We start from the raw sequence: 23,664 nt of genomic DNA, 5'->3' as shown, positions 1-23,664 counted from the left end.
GGCTCACTGCAACTTCCGCCTCCAACCAAGCAATTCTCCTGCCTCAGCCTCCCGAGTAGCTGGGATTACAGACACGTGCCACCACACCCAGTGGCTAATTTTTGTATTTTTTAGTAGAGACGGGATTTCAGCATGTTGGTCAGGCTGGTCTCAAACTCCTGACCTCGTGATCTGCCTGCCCCAACCTCCCAAAGTGCTGGGATTACAGGTGTGAGCCACCACACCCGGCCCACATGAAACTATTAAATAGCTTGAGGTAGAAGGTTAATTTTAAATATTCCTTGTAATAGTTACATTAATTGCGGTTAAAGTAAACTTGACCATTGTCTCTCTCAGCAGCTAGACTGCATGCTTCCCAAGGGAGTGGGAAGCGTTGGTGTTGGTCTTGTTCACTGTGGTAGTGCAAGTGCCCAACTTAGTGCCGGACACAGTGGGCGCTCAAGAAATGTTTGGTGACTGAATAAATTGTTTCCCTGCACAGGTTGGCTATACAGTGCGCTTTGATGATGTCACCTCAGAAGACACCAGGATCAAGTTTCTGACAGATGGCATGCTTCTGCGTGAAGCAATTTCAGACTCTTTGCTTCGGAAATACAGCTGTGTCATTTTGGATGAAGCTCACGAACGGACTATCCACACAGATGTGCTCTTTGGAGTGGTGAAAGCTGCACAGAAGAGGAGAAAGGAACTCGGGAAACTTCCTCTGAAAGTATGAGGGAAACTTCCCCTGAAAGTATGAGGGAAACTTCCCCTGAAAGTATGCGTAACACACAGAAGGAAACAGGCCTGGCTGGGCGCGGTGGCTCACGCCTGTAATCCCAGCACTTTGGGAGGCCAAGGCCGGTGGATCACCTGAGGTCAGGAGTTCGAGACCAGCCTGGCCAACGTGGTGAAACCCCGTCTCTACTAAAAATATAAAAATTAGCTGGGTGTGGTGGCACACATCTGTAATCCCAGCTACTTGGGTGGCTGAGGCATGAGAATCGCCTGAACCCAGGAGGCGGAGGTTGCGGTGAGCTGAGATCACACCACTGCACTCCAGCCTGGGTGACAGAGCGAGACTCTGTCTCAAAAAAAAAAAAAAAAAAAAAGTGAAAGTTCATTAAATAGCATAACTTTATAGACAACTTGTATTTCAGGGAGTTGGCAGAAATATGATCTGAAAGTATCCAGATAATTGGCCCGGCACGGTGGCTCACGCCTGTAATCCCAGCACTTTGGGAGGCCGAGGCCGGTGGATCACCTGAGGTCAGGAGATCGAGACCAGCCTGGCCAACGTGGTGAAACCCCGTCTCTACTAAAAATACAAAAAATGATCCAGGCATGGTGGCACATGCCTGTCGTTCCAGCTACTAGGGAGGCTGAGGCAGGAGAGTCACTTGAACAAGACTGAAATTCCGTCTTGATTTTTTTTTTTTTTTGCACTCTGTTACCCAGGCTGCAGCGTGGTGACGCGATCTCAGCTCACTGCAAGCTCCGCCTCCCAGGTTCACGCCATTGCTTACCTCAGCCTCCCAAGTAGCTGGGACTACAGGCGCCCACCACCGCACCTGGCTAATTTTTTGTATTTTTAGTAGAGACGGGGTTTCACCGTGTTAGCCAGGATGGCCTCGATCTCCTGACCTCGTGATCCGCCTGCCTCGGCCTCCCAAAGTGCTGGGGCTGGGATTACAGACGTGAGCCACCGTGCCCGGTGAAACTCCATCTCAAAAAAAAAAAAAGAAGGAAAGGAAAGGAAACAGACCTGTGTGCTCTAGCAGGGTGTTTTCCTCTGCCTGTTCTGCTCAGAGCCTTGGAAGAAAGTAAACTGTGATGGGGGTGGCACAGGCCTCAATCATCTGCTTTTGGGGCTCGAGAGGGACACGGAAAGGCCTTCCCACTATTTGTTTCTGGTCCTCCTCTTCGTTCTCTTATGCAGGTGATTGTGATGTCAGCTACGATGGATGTGGACCTGTTCTCTCAGTATTTCAATGGCGCCCCCGTCCTCTACCTAGAGGGTCGGCAGCATCCGATCCAGGTGTTTTACACCAAACAGCCTCAGAATGATTACCTGCACGCCGCGCTTGTCTCCGTCTTCCAGATCCACCAGGTATGGTGCTGGGGGCAAATTCCTGAAAAGTTCTCTTTTATCTTGCAGTTGGTAGTGAGAACATTGAGCCTTGAAAAGAAAAGCTACTGAATAAAACAACTTTGTGAGTTGTGTCATCAAGATGAATAAGGAGGCCAGGTGCGGTGGCTCACGCCTGTAATCCCTGCACTTTGGGAGGCCGAGGCAGGTGGATCACCTGAGGTCAGGAGTTCAAGACCAGCCTGGCCAACATGGTGAAACCCCATCTCTACTAAAAATACAAAAATTAGCCAGGCATGATGGCGGGTGCCTGTAATCCCAGCTACTCGGGATGCTGAGGTGGGAGAATCGCCTGAATCCGGGAGGTGGAAGTTGCAATGAGGCGAGATTGCACCACTGCACTCCAGCCTAGGTGACAGAGGGAGACTCCGTCTGAAAAAAAAAACAAAAAAAAAACAATGAATAAGGAGTTCATTTGCTGTGTCTGGATTTTTATCCTTTATTTATGATATCTCTAATTTTCATTGAAAAGAAAAATAATTCAGTTCTGACCAGCAGCTTTCTTACACTGAGCCAGAAAATTTTCATGTTAAAGCAGTAGCTTACCAACTTTCCTTGATTATAACCGCCATTAAGAAGTACTTTTGGCTGGGCACAGTGGCTCACGCCTGTAATCCCAGCACTTTGGGAGGCCGAGGCGGGTGGATCATGAAGTCAGGAGATCGAGACCCTCCTGACTAACATGGTGAAACCTCGTCTGTACTAAAAATACAAAAAATTAGCCGGGTGTGGTAGCGGGCGCCTGTAGTCCCAGCTACTCGGGAGACTGAGGCAAGAGAATGGCGCGAACCCAGGTGGCAGAGCTTGCAGTGAGCCGAGATCGCGCCACTGCACTCCAGCCTGGGTGACAGGGCGAGGGTCTGTCTCAAAAAAAAAAAAAAAAAGGTACTTTTTCTTTTGCAACCCCGTACGCTATACATATAACTGAAATAGGTCTATGAAACACTGCTTCTGGCCAGGCATGGTGGCTCACACCTGTAATCCCAACGCTTTGGGAGGCTAAGGCAGGAGGATCACTTGAGTCCAGGAGTTCAAGACCAGTCTGACAACATAGCAAAACCCTGTCTCTATAAAAAAAATTATAAAAATTATTTTTTAAAGAAGAAGTACTGTGTCTTTTACTACATGTAGGGTACTCTGATATTTTGTGCCTCATTTAAAGAAAATGTTGGCTGGGCACAGTAGCTCACACCTGTAATCCTAGCACTTTGGGAAGCAGAGGTGGGTAGGATTGCTTGAGCTCAGGAGTTTGAGACCAGCCCGGGCAACATAGCAAGACTTGTCTCTACTAAAAATCAAACAATCAGCCAGGTGTGGTGGTGCATGCCTATAGTCCCAGCTACTTGGGATGCTGAGGTAGGAGGATCACTTAAGCCTGGAAGATTAAGGCTGCAGTGAACTATGATCACCGCACTCCAGCCCGGGAAACAGAGCAAGATCCTATCTCAAAAAAAGAAAAAGTTGACATTAGCCCAATAATGGGTTGCAACTTAGAGTTTCTTTTTTTTTTAAACTATATTAGGAGAATATTTAAAAATATTTTCTCATTTTATTAAACATTTACTTCAAAAATTTGAATCATTAAGTCACTTTTGTTTAATTTGTATAAAATTTAATGTTTTTACCTTCCTATTAGCTTTCTGAGAAAATCCAGAGGCAAACTTTTAAAATAACTTTTTATTTAATTAATTTACTTATTTAGAGACGGGGTCTCATTCTGTCACCCAGGCTGGAGTGCAGTGGCATAATCACAGCTACTACAGCCTCGATCTCCTGGGCTCAAGCCGTCCTCCTACCTTTGCCTCCTGAGTAGCTGGAACTACAGGCACACACCAGTACACCTGGCTAATTTTTTTTTATGTTTTGTAGAGACAGGGTCTTGCTACGTTGCCCGGACTGGTCTCAAACTCCTGACCTCAAGTGATTTTCCCGACTCAGCCTCCCAAAGCACTGGGATTGCAGATGTGAGAAACCGTGCCCAGTCAATTTTTATTTTAAAATAAGTGATGCATATGGGATTTAAAGTTTTAAAAAGTCAAGTAGTTTATAGTAAAAGGTTTATAATAAAAGAATAGCAGTTGTTTTTACTTCAACATCCCAGATTTCTGCTGTTTAGGGCACCTACTTTCAATCTCTACATATTGCTTTCATGTTTCTAAACTACCTTGCTTTGACCACTATTTTTTGAGTTATGGGTATCAGGCATCATATGCTAATTTCTTACCATGGTGACAAAAGTTTAGAATGCCCCTCCCCAACCCCCTTTATCTCCAACCTCTTGACAGTTCTATCATGTTTTTGTTTAGGTTTTTGTTTTTGAGGCAGGATCTTGCTGTGTTGCCCAGGCTGGTCGTGAACTCCCGGGCTCAATCAGTCCTCCCACCTCAGCATTGGGAGTAGCTAGGACTACATGCTTGCACACCTGTGTCTGGCCTATTATGATGTTTTCTGAGTCCAGTATCAATACTAAGAATATTATGACCACACATTGCTAGTAGCACACCATCATCCCTGTACCTTGTTTCTTGAACAACACAGTTGTGCAAGCTTTCTGGGTAGCTCTGGCTCATTTTCTCCCAAATATTCCAACATCTCATATGCCAGTCGTGTATAGTTCTGTGTTCAAGCACAGTCTGTCTTTTCAGAGTCCTTTATGCTGCTGTTCCAGTTGGGGCAGGTGGCTCTCCTGGGCCTTTGTGCAGCTGTCATCTTGACTCTTCACTTTGTCACCATTTTCCCGTGGTGAGACCCATGGCTTCCCAGTCTCCTGGCCGTCCTGGGTAGGAGAGGGAACTGAAGGCTTTAACTACTCTATACTCAGACTTTGAACCAATCCCTGAGTTTTCACTCTCCCACAACATAATTTGTAGTTTCCTCCCTCTAGCCAAGTCATCCAGCCCCTTTCCCCTCTCTTCCAAAATGAGTTGAGACTCCTCATCTCTCATTGCCTTTTCTTTCTAAGACAGTGGCCTTTACTGTCGTTTTCATAGTGTTTGGGGAAGAAGTCTGCCTTGTTCAGCTGCAGAAAGCAAACGAGAATTTTTCATGAATGATGGCTGCTGGTGCATTAGGTTACCACTGGCTTTGATGAATTCTCCCACTCATGAGGTTTTGACTGTTTTAGATTTTATCCTGTCTGTGTATCCCTCTGCACATTTGTTCTGTTAATACTGGGCTGAAAAAAAATACATATTAAAAAATACGTATTTTTACATATATACATAAATATACATATAATTATTAAAATTTTTTTCTATTTATTTTGCCATTAGGCACTTTTTTTTTTTTTTTTTGAGATGGAGTCTCACTGTGTCGCCCAGGCTGGAGTGCAGTGACACGAGCTCGGCTCACTGCAACCTCTACCTCCCAGGTCCAAGTGATTCTTGTGCCTCAGCCTCCTGAGTATCTGGGATCACACCTAGCTAACTTTTGTATTTTTAATAGAGATGGGATTTCACTGTGTTGGACAGGCTGGTCTCAAACTGCTGACCTCAACCCATTTGCCTGCCTCAGCCTCCCAAAGTGCTGGGGTTACAGGCATGAGCCACTGCGCCCAGTCCATCAAGCACTTCATTTTATTTATTTATTTTTTGAGATGGAGTCTTGCTCTGTCGCCCAGGTTGGAGTGCAGTGATGCAATCTCGGCTCACTGCAACCTCCGCCTCCCATGTTCAAGTGATTCTCCTGCCTCAGCCTCCTGAGTAGCTGGGATTACAGGCGTGCGCCACCACGCCTGGCTAATTTTTTGTATTTTTAGTAGAGACAGGGTTTCACCATGTTGGTCAAGCTGGTCTCGAACTCCTGACCTCAGGTGATCTGGCCGCCTCGGCCTCCCAAAGTGTTAAGCACTTTACATCAAACAAATTAATGTATCTGATCAGAAATCAAAGAAAAATCAGGGCATTAGGTATGTCATTCACACTTGGGTGTTGTTCCATTTGAAAGTGAGGAACCCCATTAACCTCAGTATCTCAAGCAGTTGTCCGAGTATAGTGTGTGTTTTGGGGCGTGTGAAAGCGCTTTCGACGGCGTCATTCATTAAAGGCTCCTTCTCCAGCATGGCTGCGCCTGTTCATTTCCATAGATTAGGATTTCCCCAAGTTTCCTTCTGTTTTGTCAACTTCATTTTTCAAGATGCTTATAAAAGAAAGGAAGCTTCATGCAGATTTTATTTGCTTGCCTGATTATGCTTTTCATGGTATTGTTCTTGTTAGAAAAATCAATCTGATGATTTCCCTTCAAAATTTCATCACTTGGCCTATAAACATAGCTGGCTAACTCCTATATATTACAGTTTTGTTTTTTGTGTTTTTGAGTCAGGTTCTCGTTCTGTCGCCCAGGCTGGAGTGGAGTGGCAAGCAGCTGGAACTATAGGCATGTGTCACCACCCCTGACCAATTTAAAAAAAAGTGTTTTGTAGAGATGGGATCTTGCTGCGTTGCCCAGGCTGGTCACAAACTCCTGGCTGCAAACGATCCTCCCGCCTCAGCCTCCCAAAGTGCTGGGTTTACAGGCGTGAGCCATCACACCCAGCCTGTTACCATTTACACACTGCTGGTAAGGGTTCTCTCCAAGCTAGACATCAACTTTTAGGCTCATTTACATTTCTATAGTTAAGAGAAATAACTCTGGGAAACATCATCAATCACCATTGTCTTTTTCTGTGCAAGCTGCAATTCTATCAATGCCTAGTAAACCCACTCTACTTTTTTTACAGGAAGCCCCTTCTTCACAGGACATCCTGGTGTTCCTCACTGGGCAGGAGGAGATCGAAGCCATGAGCAAGACGTGCCGAGACATTGCAAAGCACCTCCCAGACGGCTGCCCTGCGATGCTGGTCCTTCCTCTGTACGCCTCCCTGCCCTATGCACAGCAGCTCCGAGTCTTCCAAGGGGCCCCAAAGGTGAGTGCACCACCTCTTCTGTCCAGCCCTATTCTGGGCACCCAGACGGATCCACCAGCGAGGTCTGTACCTGTTACCAGGCTCCAGATAAGGTGTATGGGATGGGATACCCAGGTGCCAGATCAGCGCACTGAGGAGGTGCAGGAATAAAATGCGCGGTGACACACGCAGCGCTCCTGTGACAGGAGCAGGGAGACAGTTGTTGGGATGAGGGAGAGTATAAACCAAAGCTGCAAGGTAAACGAGTGACTTCTAAGGACCAGCATAAATTGCATTTGTCCATAGTGCCATTTCTTGTGTGCCTTTGCCGTGCCAGGCACTGTGCTAGCATTTATATCCACTGTCTGTCATCCTCGTGGGAACCGGCAAGGCAGGTTATGATCCCATGGGGATCCTGAGGCCCCAAGAAGGGAAGTAACAATTGCTCAAGGGGGCGCATAGTAAGTCACTGGCAGGGCCACGATTCCAACCCACATCTACTTGCTTCTGATTCCTGTGCTTGTTCCACTGCATCTCATTGCCTCAAATTGACCTTTAAGACTGCAGCGTCCCCTTCCCCTGCCCGGTTTAATGACCAACCATTAATATTAATGACTGCCATTAATAATGGAGTCATCTTCTGTTGGTCAAGAGTGAATTGTGGAAGTTAATGGTGAGAATATGTTTGAAGACTTCTGAATCATCCGTGTGTCAATGCGGCTTTTTGGTTTTCTTCCTCCTTTTAGGGCTATCGCAAAGTGATCATTTCAACCAACATCGCTGAAACCTCCATAACCATTACAGGAATAAAATATGTAGTTGACACGGGCATGGTTAAAGCAAAGAAGTATAACCCTGGTGAGAATTTGTAGTTCATGAATGTCTCTCCTGTGTCTAGTGAGCAGCCACTGAAACTGTAGTCCCACAGTTTTCCCCTGAGTGTTTCATGTTTGTAACTAACAAATTCAGGTGGCAGGCGCCATGAGTGAGATCACCTACACTCCAGGTCCGCGAAGGAGTCCTGAGGCGGGTATGTGAGACAGGAAGTAGAGGCAGGAAAGAAGAGCCCAGGTTGAGCAAACTTGGGCACACAGGGTCAGGGACCTGGGCAGAGGGTCTGGTACCCCATCAGAAGTCGGCTCTAAGGCCAGGGACAGCTGGGTGTCAATCAAAGGGTGTCATCAGAAACTATATATATATGGCTGGTTTGAGCTCCCAGGTTTCTCAGGAAGGAACCAGATCTCCTGGCTGAGGTGAGGCATGGAAGGAGCACTGGCTTCTCCTAAGAAGGTGCAGTGAGAAGCTAACTTAAGGTCATCTTGACTCATGTCTGTTTTATACTTTGCTTTATTCCACAGAGGATTTGAGACCACTGAAATTATTGCTCCCAATTATTGAACTGAAATGCTCTAGTAAACATTTGAGGGTCCTGGCTTCCACAGGTGTATCTTTTTGTGATGACGTAGGTGAAAGAGCTTGGGTCTCCAGTGCCAGGCTAATGATACACCTTTATCAAGAAAATGAACCTCATTTACTGCTAGAAAACAGACATCACATTATTTCTGTCTTACAGCAGAACTGGGAGGGAGGATAAAGCACACAAGTGATTTGAGGCATTTAATTTCGTAGTCATTGATTGATAGTATGACCCCCATCCTAGTTTGCTGAAACTCCCAGTTTTAGCACCCAAAATCCGACATCCCAGGAAACCCTCTGTCCCAAGCAAACTGGAGGGGTTGGCCATCCTACCATCTAAGGCAAGACCTCGGAAACTACTCTTCTCGCCCCTTGCTGCATGCGTGAGGTTTTTCTGATGTTTTTGTAACAGATTTCACAGTGGGCTTATGGCAAAGCCTTGTTTCACTAGGGCCAAACCGCTGCGGAGCAGTCTGGTTTTGTGCTGTCCATTGTGCTAGCCTTGAGGCTTTCTGGACCCCCGTGTTGCTGAAAGAACCACTGGTGTGCTTCTTTTTATCGACACTGTAGAAAGAGTTTGTTCATGTGATGAAGCACTAATGGGGCTCACTCTCCATCCAGACAGTGGTCTTGAGGTGTTAGCAGTGCAGCGGGTATCGAAGACGCAGGCTTGGCAGCGCACAGGGAGGGCTGGCAGAGAGGACAGTGGCATCTGCTACCGGCTCTACACGGAGGACGAGTTTGAGAAGTTTGATAAGATGACCGTGCCAGAGATCCAGAGGTAGGCACCAGTTGCTCCTGCACTGCTGCTGTTTGTCACCATGTCTCTCCTGCTTGCCCAGAGCTGCAGTTTTTACTCACACTCCACCATGAGGGGTTCTGACTCAATGGCAGAGGGATCAGGTCATGACCCTGGTCTCATGCTCTTCACAGGTGTAACCTGGCCAGTGTGATGCTTCAGCTTCTAGCAATGAAAGTCCCAAATGTGCTCACCTTTGACTTCATGTCGAAGCCATCTCCAGGTAAGTGAAATCCACAGTTTTGCAGAAGGTGGGTGAGGAGACAAACAACAACAAATGGACACTTCCAAAAAAATAAAGTATATTGGTCATCTCCTTTTGTTTATTTAATTTTGTGGATGACAACATTAGTTATTAGAGAAGCATCTGAAAATCATGAAATGATAGATAGATACATTGATTGACTTTTAAAGAGACAGGGTCTCACTGTGTGGCCCAGGTGGAGGTGCAGTGACTATTCACAGGCTCCATCACAGCCTCCAACTCCTGGGCTCCAGCGATCCCCCCGCCTCAGCCTCCCAAGTAGCTGGGACCACAGGCATGCGCCAGTGTTCCTAGCTATGAAACGATAGATTCTGTACTATCAGCACCATCAATAAAGTTCCTTGACCTCTGGAACCAGTGAAGGTCATCATGCGAGTCCTTGGGATACTACAGAAATGTAATGAAATTGTACTTTTATCAGCACAGGGACTGCAAAGATCACATTTCTTTGCCTTTAACTGGAATTTGATCCATCTCTCCTGTTCATTAGTAATTTCTCTACAGAAGAAGAAAATAATTGGAAATATTTATGATATTGGCTTTGGCACCTGGCCTCTCATCAACGCACCATTTTCCTTTTCTTTTTATTGCCCCCCCTTTTCTTAAGAAATGCAATTGGTTTAAAAAAGAAGGAAAGAAAACACAAAGTCACCAGTTGATGGGTATACAAGGGTCCTGCCCTGATCCTCAGGTTCACAGTTTCCTTCCCCTAGAACAACCACTGGAACCATTTTCTAGTAGACTTCTAGAGCAAATGTATGCATATATGAGTATATGTAGTGTGTTTGATTTTATTTATGTATTTATTTATTTATTTTTGAGACAGGGTCTCACTCTGGTTGTCCAGGCTGGAGTGCAGTGGCACATTCTCAGCACACTGCAGCCTCAACCTCCCGGGCTCAGGTGATTCTCCCACATCAGCTTCCCAAGTAGCTGGGACTACAGGTGTGAGCCACCAAGCCCCTGCTGTAGTATGTTTTTGTTTTTGTTTTTGTTTTGAGACAGGGTCTCACTCTGTTGCCCAGGCTGGAGTGCAGTGGTGCGATCCCAGCTCACTGCAACCTCCACCTGCCGGGTTCAGGTGATTCTCCTGCCTCAGCCTCCCGAGTAGCTAGGACTACAGGTGTGCACCACCATGCCCGGCTAATTTTTGTATTTTTTAGTATAGATGGAGTTTCACTATGTTGACCAGGCTGGTCTTGAACTCCTGACCTAGGTGGTCCGCCCACCTCGGTCTCCCAAAGTGCTGGGATTACAGGCGTGAGCCACCACGCCCAGCCTGTAGTATGTTTTAAAACACAAATAGCAACACACATTGAGTATTGTTCTGTGCTTGATTTTTTTTCTTTCATTGCTAAATTCTTACATACAAATGAAGAAGATACATAAGGTGTAAGGAATGGTTAAAATCTAACACCTGTGTACCCAATTGAAGCCCCCAGGAGTCCCCCCCACCCACTTGCCCTCGCCTCCTTCCACTCTTTTGGGGTACCCACTCTTCCATATTTTGTTTGTAATTGCCTTGCTTTTCTTCACTGTTTTACTATATGCGTATGTATCCCTAAACCACCTGTTGTTTGTAAGTTTATGTTAGTTATTCTTGAGTAAGCGGTTTTCATTCAGCTTGTTCCGTATAGTATATTTGTGCTGATGCTTTTTCACACTAAGTGCTATTCCATTCTGTGAATAAACCAAAATGCATTTATCCATCCTTCAGTTGATAAATATTGCTTTAAAAAAGCAATGAGAAACACACTGCTTTTTTTCATTTAATACATTTTACAGATCACTCCTTATTGGGATGTATATATTTACTACATCCTTAGAAATGCTTTTTTATTCTTTAATAGGTACTATATTTACATGGTTCAAAGTTTAAAATATATAAAATAGTAAATAGTAATAATGTCCTTCTCATCCCCTTGTCTCCCAGCCTCCCCAGCTGGCCCCTGAGACAACTGCTATTTCCACTGTTATGTGTTTGGTTCTGGCGATATGGTCTCTGTGCGATGTGTATCTGCAGGTGAAATTCGTAAGTGTAACATTGCTGGGTCAGATGTTACACTTTTAATGTGTATATTCAAAATCTACATACATATTGCCAAATTACAGGTCATTTAAAAAGAAAATTGAGGCTGGGCATGGTGGCTCACACCTGTAATCCTAGCACTTTGGGAGGTCAAGGTGGGCAGATCACCTGAGGTCAAGAGTTTGAGACCAGCCTGGCTAACATGGTGAAACCCCGTCTCACTAAAAATACAAAAATTAGCTGGGCGCGGTGGTGGGCGCCTGTGGTCCCAGCTATAGGGGAGGCTGAGGCAGGAGAATCGCTGGAACCCAGGAGGCAGAGGCTGCAATGAGCCGAGATCACGCCATTGCACTTCAGTGTGGGCAACAGAGCAAGACTCTGTCTCAAAAAAGAAAAGGGAATTGAACTAAAGACAGTGATGTCGTTCTTTGACAAGTGTGTCAAGGGGGCAGTGGCGGTTATGATTTTTGCTGTTGTTTGATGTAGAATTATCAGAAGCTCCCAGAAATACTGAACTAGCTGCAACTTCATTTTTTTGGACTTTTGGCTCCTTTTTATGTCTCTGTTTCTTTAGATCACATTCAGGCGGCCATTGCCCAACTGGACCTGTTAGGTGCTCTTGAACATAAGGATGACCAGCTTACCCTGACTCCAATGGGAAGAAAGATGGCAGCATTTCCTTTAGAACCCAAATTTGCCAAAGTAAATGATACCCTCTCCTCAGTCCTCTTTCTGTACATTACAGTTAACCGTCCCAAAGTAGTACCATCTACCCAGTGCTTCTAGATTAATCTCACTTTTTCTCTTACATAATTACCAACCCCTAGTTTGCAAATAGCCCTGATTCATGTTCAGTGTGGGATTCAAAGAGATGAAGTTAAGAGCCCCTACCCACAAGAAATTTGGAACTCTGTAGGGAAGGCAGTCACCTGTTTTATTGAATATTAAAGAGTGAAATAACACTAATGTACATCGCCATGGTTTTAGAAATACCTGCCCTTTAACTCCTTAGAAGGGAAACTGCAAAAGCAATGTACAGAAATAGTGCATTCTAAAGCTAGGAGAAAGCTGGGTTTACACAATTTTAAATTTTGCTTTGCAGACCATCCTCATGTCCCCCAAATTCCACTGTACAGAGGAGATCCTGACCATTGTCTCCCTGCTGTCTGTGGACAGCGTCCTCCACAACCCTCCTTCCCGGCGAGAGGAAGTGCAAGGGGTCCGCAAGAAGTTCATATCCAGCGAGGGGGATCACATGACCCTGCTCAATATCTATCGGACCTTCAAAAACCTAGGCGGAAATAAGGTGAGCCTTGTCTTGCACCTGTTCTCCAGCGATAGCTGCTTGTCTCTGCTATGTGCTTCCCTTTTTCTACTGAAGCCGTGCAAAAAGTACGCTTTCCCTTTTTGGCTAAATTATCTAAAGAATCACAAAAAGAAAGCCAGACAGCATTTCAGAAATGCTTCAGTACCGAAGCAGTGTCATTCTGGTCTCTGTTCCGAATGTGTTTAAGTCAACAAGACTTAAGTGACTCCCAACCCATCAAAACTTAATTGGAACTTGATTAAGTAATATGTCTAATAATGATAGTGCGTACCAATGAATGAGTACTTACTCTGTGCCAAGCCCCATGCTAAGCACTTCTTAATGTAAGATCTCATTTATTCAGTAAAGTAATCCTAAGAAATGAGCACTATAATTATTATTTTTTATATTCATGAAACATGTAGTCATGGAAACGAAGCTTCGTGCAGTTGAAAAACTTGCCCAGGGCCAGGCACAGTGTCTCAAGCTTGTAATCCCAGCACTTTGGGAAGCCAGGGCAGGTGGATCACTTGAGCCCAGGACTTCCAGACCAGCCTGGCCAACATGGCAAAACCCCGTCTCTACTAAAAATACAAGAATTAGCCGGGCGTGGTTGTGCATACCTGTAATCCCAGCTACTCGGGAGGCTGAGGCATGAGAATCATTTGAACCTGGGAGGCAGAGGTTGCAGTGAGCCGAGATCGTGCCACTGCACTCCAGCCTAGGTGACAGAGCGAGACTCTATCTATCTCCAAAAAAAGAAAAAAGAAAGAAGTCTTACATAAATTGACTGGGCATTTCTGTTTTGTTTTCTGTGTCTGTTCATATCCTTTGTCCATTTTTCTACTGGGTCGTTGGTCTTTTTCTTAATGACTTGTAGAACTTTTAAAATCAATTCTAGAGATTCTAATCATTTATTGGGTATGATGAGACAAATATCCCAATCTGGGAAACTTCAAGTTTTTCTTTAGTTTAAATTATTAACACTTTTCTTATAGTTCATGTTTTTTGATATAAAGATATTTTCCTACGTTTCTTTTTGGCACCTGAAGTTTTTTCTCTGAATTCAACTGTGTTCTAAAAATGTTGTTATATTTTCTCTATAGAGATGAGAGGATTGTTAGCTGGGCATGGTGGCATGTGCAGATAGTTCAAGCTATCTGGGAGGCTGAGGTGGGAGGATTGGTTTGCAGTGAGCTATGATTGTATCACTGCACTCCAGCCTAGGGAACAGAGCAAGACCCCGTCTCTGTGAACATATAAATGGTGAATGAGTGGATTGTGATATCACTCTTTCTCCTATTCAGGATTGGTGCAAAGAGAATTTTGTCAACAGCAAGAATATGACGCTGGTAGCAGAAGTCAGAGCACAGCTGAGGGACATCTGCTTAAAGGTATCGTCTGGTCCTAGTGTTCTGTGGGTGACAAAGCTGTCACTTTGTTCAAGGTAGAAATTTTGAAGTTGCTTATTGCTAGTGATTATAAAAGGATTTCTCATTGTAGCAAATTTCACAAATAAGAAAAAAGGAAGTTACCCACAATTCCACAATTCAGTAGTTTAGCCTATTTCCTAATAGCCTAGTTTTTATTGTATTTTTTTACATAGTAAATTATATGTATAATTTATATTTGGTTTTATAATCTTTATAAGCATTTTCCAGTGTTAGAATTCTTCATAAGATTTTTTTTAAGTATGAATATCTGCATTATTTCCTTTTAGATTACCAAAGTTGTGTATAGTATTTGACACAATGCAGAAAATAGTGATTTATAATGTAGAAAGTTTAAAAGTCTCCCATAATCCTGCCCCTCCAGAGATAACTACTGTTAACAGTTTGGGGTAGCTCCTTCTAGAATTTGTTTCTGTGTATGTATGTTTTTGTGCATGTCTCTGTGCCTGTGTGTGAGCACACACATAACGGATACGTGCATATGAGGTACATGTTCCACAACTTCCTTTCTTCCACATGGCATATTTCTTTCTTTCTTTCTTTCTTGTTTATTATTTGAGACAGAGTCTTGCTCTGTCACCCAGGCTGGAGTGCAGTGGTACCATCTTGGCTCACCACAGCCTCCGCTCACTGCAACCTCTGCCTCCCGAGTTCAGGTGATTCTCCTGCCTCAGCCTCCCGAGTAGCTGGGATTACAGGCGTGCGTCACCACGCCTGGCTAATTTTTGTATTTTTAGTAGAGACGGGGTTTCACCACGTTGGCCAGACTGGTCTCGAACTCCTGACCTCAGGTGATTTGCCCGCCTCGGCCTCCCGAAGTGCTGGGATTCCAGGTGTGAGCCACTGTGCCTGGCCTCACATGCGTATTTCTCAAATCCTTCCTGTGGCTGGGCTTTCAGTGCTGCATGTGTCTAGCTCATTCATTTTAGTGATTTCATAGCATTTCATTGTATTCAGTGCAGTTTATTTAAGCCTCTAATAATGGTCATTTAGATTCTGTTGTAGTGACCATCCTCCGTATGTGCTGTGGTGCACACAGAATGAATTTCTAGATGGGGGAATTTGGATTTTGTTAGATATTGCCAAAGTGTCCACCGCAAAGTGTTTTTTTTCCTTTCTTTTTTTTTGAGACGGAGTTTTGCTCTTGTTGCCCAGGCTGGAGTGCAGTGGCGCGATCTTGGCTCACCACAACCTCTGCCTCCCGTGTTCAAGCAATTCTCCTGCCTCAGCCTCCCGAGTAGCTGGGACTACAGGCATGACCCACCACACCCGGCTAATATTTTGTATTTTTAGTAGAGACGAGGTTTCACCATGTTAGCCAGGATGGTTTTGGCCTCCCAAAGTGCTGGGATTACAGGCGTGAGCCACCACGCCCGGCCTAATTTTTTGTATTTTTAGTAGAGACGGGGTTTCACTATGTTGGCCAGGCTGGTCTCGAACTCCTGACCTCAGGCGATCCACTGGCCTTGGCCTCCCAAAGTGCTGGGGTTCCAGGTGTGAGCCACTGTGCCCGGCCCACAAAGTTTTATATTAGCTTTTTATTCCCTCTTAGAGTACATGGTGTTTTAAAGAGCTGTCATGGTATATTTAATGCTCGCATGACACTCCACATTTTATGTCAGAGATAGAGGGTAGCGGAAGTGTTCTTTTGCTGTTGATCACTGAGACAGTGTCCGTGTGTTTGCTGCTGTCCTGAGTACTCTGTGGTGAATGTCTTGTGCCCCCTCAGTGCGGACGCTGCTGGGAGACAGTCACAGCCTGTACCCAGGCCTGTGTCTGATGCCAACGGCCTACGGTTGGCACTAGAGCTGTTTCTTCTCATAGTAGCCTATTGTATTCTGTCTTTCACACATTTTTTTAAACTGCTTTTGTATTTGAACAGTTTCCTGCCAGTCTGTCTCTTGGCTTCATAAGTTTTCTCAATTTATCATTGACAGTAGAAACGGTGCTTCTCTATTAGTTGTGAATTTAGGACCCTGTAGTGGCCAGGGATACCTCTCATTATATGTCAGGCACTGGTAAGGTCCTGAGACTTTACAGACATGCCTACTCAGTAACTAAGTAATAATCTAGATGGTGACCTGACGTACATACACTCATGCCAGGAGGCCATCAAATTAAAATAATCACTATCATTCATGAAGTGTTTGTTCAGCACTGTTCTGAGTACTTTTTATGTGGCTGCCTTATTTAAACTCCTCATTTCTTTTTTTTTCTTTTTCAACTCAGACCTTAACCCAAAGGATAAAATCCTCATTTCAACCTATAAGATTGATTCTTTTGTTATTCCCATTTTACAAATGATGAAACTAAGCCTAATCAGGTTAAATAATTTGCCCCAAATCACTCAGCCAGTGAGTGGTAAAGCTGATAGTCTGGAAGGAGAGACCACCAGTTAGCCTCTGGGGCTTCTTGGAGGTGGTGACAACTGAGCTAGATCTTGACAGATAAGGAGATAAAAGAGTATCTTCCAGGCCAGGTGTGGTGGCTGGCTTATGCCTCTAGTCCCAGCACTTTGGGAGGCCCAAGCAGGTGGATTGCTTGAGGCCAAGAGTTCGAAATCAGCCTGACCAACATGGTGAAACCCCATCTCTGCTAAAAATACAAAACTAAGCTGAGCGTGGTGGTGCATGCCTATAACCCCAGCTACTCAGGAGGCTGAGGCACAAAAATCGCTTGAACCCAGGAGGCAGAGGTTGCCAGCGAGCTGGGATTGTGCCACTGCACTCCAGCCTGGGCAACAGAGTGAGACCCTGTCTCTTAAAAAAAAGTATCTTCTTCAGGCATAGATCAGCTGATTGTCAACAACAGAAACCCTAGAGCCATCATAAAGGACAAAATAAAGATTCTTCCAAGGATGGAAAGGTATCTCTGAGAACCGATAGGCAGGAAATAGAGTCACAGGAACCAGAAAAAGCCTGCAGGAGCCAGGCCCGCCACTTTCTCTGGACCTGCTGCTTCTCTTGCTTTGAGTGCCCTCTGCGTGCCTCCTTCCCTTTTCTCACCTTTACCTCCGCATGGAAGTGATTTCTCTGCATGGCCCCTCCACTCAAGAGCCCAGCAGAGATTGACAAGTTTTCCAGTTTCAAACCTAAAAGATGCCTGGAAGAGAAAAGCTGGCCAGCTTAGGTCCAGCGTGTGTGTACCACTGGTTTGTTCATCTGTGCCCAGGGGCGTAGGTTACATGCCCCACTCATCAAGAGCAGTAGAACAAGGACATTGACTGGTGACTGACATTTCCTCTGATGAGACAGGCAGCATTTCTACTAAGAGTAGCAAATGTGAAGGCACAGATAGGAATCATGAAACGGGGCGAGGAAAGAGAAGGCAGCCAGCTATGGGGGACCATGGAGTGTCTAAAGAAGAGTGGTGAGGCCGGGCGCGGTGGCTCACGCCTGTAATCCCAGCACTTTGGGAGGCCAAGGCGGGCAGATCACTTGAGGTCAGGAGTTCAAGACCAGCCTGACCAAAATGGTGAAACCCCGTTTCTACTAAAAATACAAAAATTAGCCAGGCGTGGTGGCAGGCGCCTGTAATCCCAGCTACTTGGGAGGCTAGGGCAGGAGAATAGCTTGAACCTGGGAGGTGGAGGTTGCAATGAGCTGAGATTGCGCCATTGCACTCCAGCCTGGGTGACAGAGGGAGACTCAGCCTCAAAAAAAAAAAAAGAAAGAAAGAAAAAGAGCGGTGAGAGGAAAGACAGGCGAGCAGCTCAGGGTGGCTCCTTCGTGGCTTCACCACGGGAAGTTTGCATTGTTTTGCAAGGAGCAGTAGAGACATTGTTGAAGGTATTTGAGTGGATGAAGAGTGATTCGAGTTGTGCTTTAGGTAGATTAGCTTGGCAGCAGCAGGTGGGTGAATCGGAGTGAGGAGATGGTGAGATGGTCAAAGCGAGAGGGAAGGGCCTTTCCTTTCCGGGCCGTCCTGATGGAATTTAGGTGAGGGGTGGGTCACCCAACCTGCCTGTGGTCTGGTGGCTAATGTGAGCACCTCCCTCCCAGCCCTACCTTCACAGGCGGTAGTTTCCCTGTTTCTGGTCCGTGCTCCTCCAGCTGGGCCTTCTTCCCCTGACCTTGCTGATCCTTGGTGACCACCTCCGAATGTCAGAATCCACATCGTTAGGCTCACAATGTGGGCTGCTTTTGCCCCAGTGGGTCCAGTTGCCCCAACACGCTGTGTAGTGCTGACCAGTGTTTACGTGTGGGGTCGGCTCCATTCCTCGCTTTCTCCCGAAACAGATGTCAATGCCAATCGCATCATCCCGAGGAGACGTGGAGAGTGTCCGCCGCTGCCTGGCTCACAGCCTCTTCATGAGCACCGCCGAGCTTCAGCCAGATGGCACCTATGCCACCACGGACACCCACCAGCCAGTGGCCATCCACCCGTCGTCTGTCCTCTTCCACTGCAAGCCGGCCTGCGTCGTGTACACTGAGCTGCTCTACACCAACAAGTGCTACATGCGGGACCTCTGCGTCATAGATGCACAGTGGCTGTACGAGGCTGCCCCTGAGTACTTTAGGAGGAAGCTGAGAACCGCCAGAAACTGAGCCGCCCCAGGATGCCGCCAGAATCACTGGTCCCTGGGAGCTTGGACTACAGTTGTCCTTACAGCAGGCTTCCAGGTTGGCGCTTAGAGAAGCCTTGGAATCAGCTGAAGGTGCCTGACTTCCAGGAGCGTGAAAGCATCTTTGCTCAACTCCTGGGACTGAACCATATAGACATGGACATATCATTTGTACCTGGAAACCTCAAAATTATGCTTTTGGTTCTTACTGGGTGACTTTGACTTAATTTAACACCTGAGCCTCAGTTTTCTCATCTGCCAAATGGGAGTAATAATAATAATCCTTATAAAATTGGGTTCATAAAGTTTAGAGAAAAGGAATGGAAAGTACCCAGAACTATGCCTGGAGCACGCACGACACACGTACAGTGAGTTGGGAGCCGTTAGGCTGAATGTTACTGCTTGCCATATGATGTGAAGTACAGCAATATCCCAAGTTCTTGTGACTGAGGGAGATTTTCTGGAAGGGCCACAGGAGGTTGCGGAGCTTGGATGTTGCCCTTAGTTCTTGTTTAATGTCTCTCTGAATGCAGTTTTAAAATAGAAAACAAAACTGACTTCTGTAGAAGTTTCCAGAGGGAGGTGCTGTTATCTCGTACCTCCTGGGATGGCGATCCCTACTGAACGCTTGTGTCTCAGGGTGGACCACTCTGTGTCTGTCTCCAAGCAGAGACCAGTAAAGGAGCCTCCTGGTCCTCAGTGCGTGACCCTGTCAGTGCTTTCAGGAGACATGTAAGCTTCCTGGGTGAAGGTTGATTTGTACCTTCTGAATCCTGTCACGTGTAGACATGGGAAACTGACCTATCAGTGTTTTGTGTGTGTAGGTGACTCCCACATACACAGTTGCCATTTTTCTCTCTAACTGGGCACCAGTGAACATGCGGGCATGAGGAGTGACTGTGTACCATTTCAGCTGTTTCTTTTCGGGCAGTCCCCTGGTCAGAGGGGGTGGGGGTGGGGGAGGGGAGAGGGGTACCTAGAACCCAGAGAACATTGGCTTATGCCAGATACCACACCACATCTGGGCTTACATTCTTGTATCTTTTTTGGTGTGTGGGCGGGGGGGGTGGGGGGCAGTTCAGTGAAGTCTAGAAGACCTGCTGGACAAATTCTAAAAGAGCTAGAGCTGTAACACTTATTCTTGCATCTTATTAATTTTCTATGATATTTTTTCCTTCTTCGTAGGGACTTGGGACAATCTGGCTTTGCTGCTTTCTAACTGCTAGGCACCTCTCTCTAACCCTCATTGTCAGAGGGAATTGGAGGATATCCACAGTCTGTTCCTGTTCTGATATTCTGAGCAGAGAAAAGGCACTAACGGTTCCTCTTAGCTATTTAATTATCAGAAGCAAGTAATCTTTCCCCAGATAATATTTTGCCCTAGAAGAAGCCGTGATTTAGCTCTTTTATTGTGCTTACTTGGTCCAAATACATCTGTGGGGTGTTTTGTCATTTCTTAATGAATGAATCATAGTTATAACCAGGGGCCAAGCTGCCCAAGAGGCTCTTCAGAGATCATGGATGCTCTCTTTCTGGAAGCTGTGGCCTGATGGAGCAGCCCCATTCCAGGGTCCCATCTGTCCGGAGTTGTGTATGTCAAGTCCGGCTCAGTCTTTATTTCCAACACTAGCCGTGGTCCTGTGCAGTCAAGCTCTCAGCTAGTGTTTAGGGCTGTCTGTCAGAAATGGTTATACGTGGGCAAAAGAAGATCTGACAGCTCCTATATACCTTATCTTACTGAATTCTTAAACTTTGAACCAGTTCTTCCACTTACTGACTTGTTACCACTGCTGACTTTCTGAAAAGTTTTCCAGTTTTTGTTTTTTGTTTTTTGTTTTCCAGTAGGGGATTAGAATGTTTAGTCCTACTTAGTAAGAAAAATATTGTATTTTTAATCATTCATAGTGCTGGTAAAAAAAAAAAAAAAAAAAAAAAAATTGGGGGGTGGCCGGGCGCAGTGGCTCACACCTGTAATCCCAGCACTTTGGGAGGCCAAGGCGGGCGGATCACCTCATGCCTGTAATCCCAGCATTGGGATGGGAGGCTGAGGTGGGTGGATTGCTTGAGAAGTTCAAGACCAGCCTGGCCAACATGGCAAAACCCCGTCTCTACTAAAAATAGAAAACTTAGCTGGGCATGGTGGCACACGCCTGTAATCCCAGCTACCGGGGAGGCTGAGGCACAAGAATTGCTTGAACTTGGGAGGCAGAGTTTGTAGTGAGCCAAGATCACGCCACTGCATTCCAGCCTGGCCGACAGTGTGAGACGGTCTCAGAAAAAAAAAGAAAGAAAGAAAGAAAAAGAAAAAACTTGGGGTAATTTATGTCCAGCTTAAGTACCTGAACAGTTTCCGGAAATGTATATTTTTTTTCTGAGAGGCAAAGGATGTAAACAGCTTCTAAGTAGCTTTAATGTTTCTGTACAGAAATAAGTTTATCCCTGTAACATTGTGGTAGAGTTTTAATACAGTATTTAGTTTTTTATTGGGCTTTTTTAAAAAGTTAACTTTTAACATAGCTGCTCAGGGATTAAATCAGATTGGAAAACCCATTCTGACTCCACATACTGCTACAAAGAAATACATCGTTGTTTATATTGAGCTGCAGGAGATAGTACACTTTAAACTTAAGAAAGTTAAATGTTTCACAATAACATTGCAATATAATCTTCAGCTACTCTCTTTCCATTGGTAAAATCTCTGATGGTGTGATAACTCTTTGCCAACCTACGAAACCCATATCTGGAAGAATCACCAGCTCCCGTGAGCAGCTTCATGTAAATAGATGCACTCCAAGCAGATTGCATGCCTCAGGTGTTTGTCTTCTAGTAATCATGGAGTGTGCAACACCCAGAGTAACACTACAAGGGGCAGGACTGCAAACAGCAGGTCCTGGCTAAAAACCCTTAATGCTGCATTGCTGCCAGTTGTAAAGAGATGCCTGAATGGAGGCAAGTTCTGCCCTGTGGGTGAAACTGATGATGTACTGTACTGTCATATATAAATCCACTAAATCCAGCTACCAGGAACTGCCTGGAACTGTGGCCATGCATTTTTTTTTTTCTTTAAAGACCAGTGTGATAGTAGGCCATGCATCTGAGATACGATATTCCTTGGTAACTAGAGGGAGAAAAAAAAATCAAGTAGGTTCAGGCTTATGTTGTATTTTGAGAGTCTGGTTTTATTTGAACAGAAATAACTCTACAGAAAGCTCTTGTAAATAATGCTCAAATTTGCACCCGACGATCAAATCCATTAAAAATGAATCTTGTATATGATGTGTGTGGCTTGTTTCTTGCATCTCTTTTCCATTATTCATAGAAAATTATTTAGAAAATATTAAGTGTTAGTCTTACCATGAGTTAGTAAGACATACCTTCTTAGTAGCTTATATGTCCTGTATATCCTGGGAAGGTAGGATTGTTGATTTTTAATAAATCTGAACCCTGTCTTTGGGTTATATTAATTTACTGGAGAAACTCACAGAACTCAGGGAAACACATTTACCGGTTTCATACAAAAGATATGACCAAGGATACAGATAAGGAGATGAGCAGGGTGGGGAATGGGGAAGAAGCTCCCAGCCTCCATGCCGTCCCTGGACCACCACCCTCCAGGAACCTCCATGTATTTAGCTATCAGAGGCTCTCCAAACCCTGTCCTCGGGTTTTTATGGAAGCCTCTGGACTTATCTAAATGATATAAGCTGGCTTCTTGTCCCCAGAAAAATGATGTTCCATTAGAACTTGGATGCAAGGTTGGAGGTGCAGAGAGGGAAGGTCACAAAAATTAATCATGGATCCTGCCCTTGAGGATGTCACAGTCTGGTTGGGTTTAACCTGGTTAAAGCAGCAACGCTAGGAGGTTCCTGTTGAAAAGAGAATGAAGCATATGGGCTGGGTGCGCACAAGCATGAGTTCCGAGCCGGTGGAAAAAAAGGTTCTAGAAGGCCTCTTTCAGGAAAACCCTCAGACTTTCCTTTGCTCTCACAACACAACAATCAACACAGAAGACTTATGTGGCCAAAGGTTTGGGTTTTTCCCCTCCACACTAAGCAGCAGACACCAGCTGGGTGTCCTCCAATTCAATCCCAACAGTATCTACCTGGAGATAGTGTCAGATCCCATAGGTTGAGGGCTCAGTCCCCAAGACCGCCCCCACCTTCAGACAGCAATGGCAAGTCTGGGCCTCTGAAACTTCCGACCAACCCGCTTCAAGTTGGGGTTCCCACGACCCCCCTCTTTGGATTATGTTAACTCACTGGAGCAGTTCACAGAACTCAGGGAAACACATTCACCGGTTTCATATAAAGGATATGACCAAGGATACAGATGAGATGAGCAGGGTGGGGAATGGGGAAGAAGCTCCGAGGTTCCTTGCCTACCCTGGGCCACCACCCTCCAGGAACCTCTACGTATTCAGCTGTCAGAGGCTCTGCAAACCCTCTCCTCTTGGGTTTTTATGGAAGCTTCTGGACATCAGCATCCCTTCCCCCAGGGTATATGGTGGGACCTTCTCTGGGAAGGGACTTAAGACCCATAATCAGAAATGTGGAAGGAGATTAGAGTCCTGCTTTGGGGCAGGTAAAAGGAGGGCAGGAGAAGGGGAGAGTCTGTTTCCTGAGGCCTAACACACCCAACATTATCACAGAACATTGTAACAAGGGCTATAGGAGTTACGACCCAGGAACTGTGGATGAAAACCAATACATATATATATCATAACACCACAGCCTCCTAGAGGAAAGTGACCGTGGAAGGGTCTGGTGAGAGCTGGCGGGAGACAAGAGTGCATTCCACGCAGCCCAAAAGCCTTGCGTGCTTTGA

At 45.5% G+C, this 23,664-nt stretch overlaps 1 protein-coding gene across 4 annotated transcripts in view, besides 1 other annotated feature; it reads left to right on the top strand.

The window, feature by feature from the left end:
* DHX33 (DEAH-box helicase 33) overlaps nt 1-22,111 on the top strand; it is a 28,066-nt gene extending 5,955 nt beyond the window's left edge. For 2 of the 4 annotated variants that reach the window (NM_001199699.2, NM_020162.4), the window contains 10 exons: nt 482-709; nt 1,919-2,089; nt 6,846-7,031; nt 7,757-7,868; nt 9,048-9,207; nt 9,360-9,448; nt 12,094-12,221; nt 12,622-12,825; nt 14,133-14,219; nt 18,515-22,111. In NM_001199699.2, the coding sequence (NP_001186628.1) occupies nt 551-709; nt 1,919-2,089; nt 6,846-7,031; nt 7,757-7,868; nt 9,048-9,207; nt 9,360-9,448; nt 12,094-12,221; nt 12,622-12,825; nt 14,133-14,219; nt 18,515-18,823 (1,605 nt within the window). In that variant the 5' untranslated portion in view covers nt 482-550 and the 3' untranslated portion in view covers nt 18,824-22,111. Of the gene's footprint in view, nt 1-481; nt 710-1,918; nt 2,090-6,845; nt 7,032-7,756; nt 7,869-9,047; nt 9,208-9,359; nt 9,449-12,093; nt 12,222-12,621; nt 12,826-14,132; nt 14,220-18,514 lie in introns of those variants that run through there. The other 2 variants (XM_017024877.2, XM_047436418.1) reach the window with 2 other exon arrangements.
* Nucleotides 23,477-23,656: an enhancer, noted in NCBI's record as "active region_11573". NCBI's record gives its function as "activates an Ori minimal core promoter by ATAC-STARR-seq in GM12878 lymphoblastoid cells {active_cell/tissue: GM12878}" and the evidence as "EXISTENCE:reporter gene assay evidence [ECO:0000049][PMID:35858748]".

This window comes from Homo sapiens, chromosome 17 (assembly GCF_000001405.40).
Source record: "Homo sapiens chromosome 17, GRCh38.p14 Primary Assembly".
Classification (NCBI taxonomy): domain Eukaryota; kingdom Metazoa; phylum Chordata; class Mammalia; order Primates; family Hominidae; genus Homo; species Homo sapiens.
Note: the sequence above shows the minus strand (reverse complement) of the source record. Positions and strands in the feature narration are given on the sequence as shown.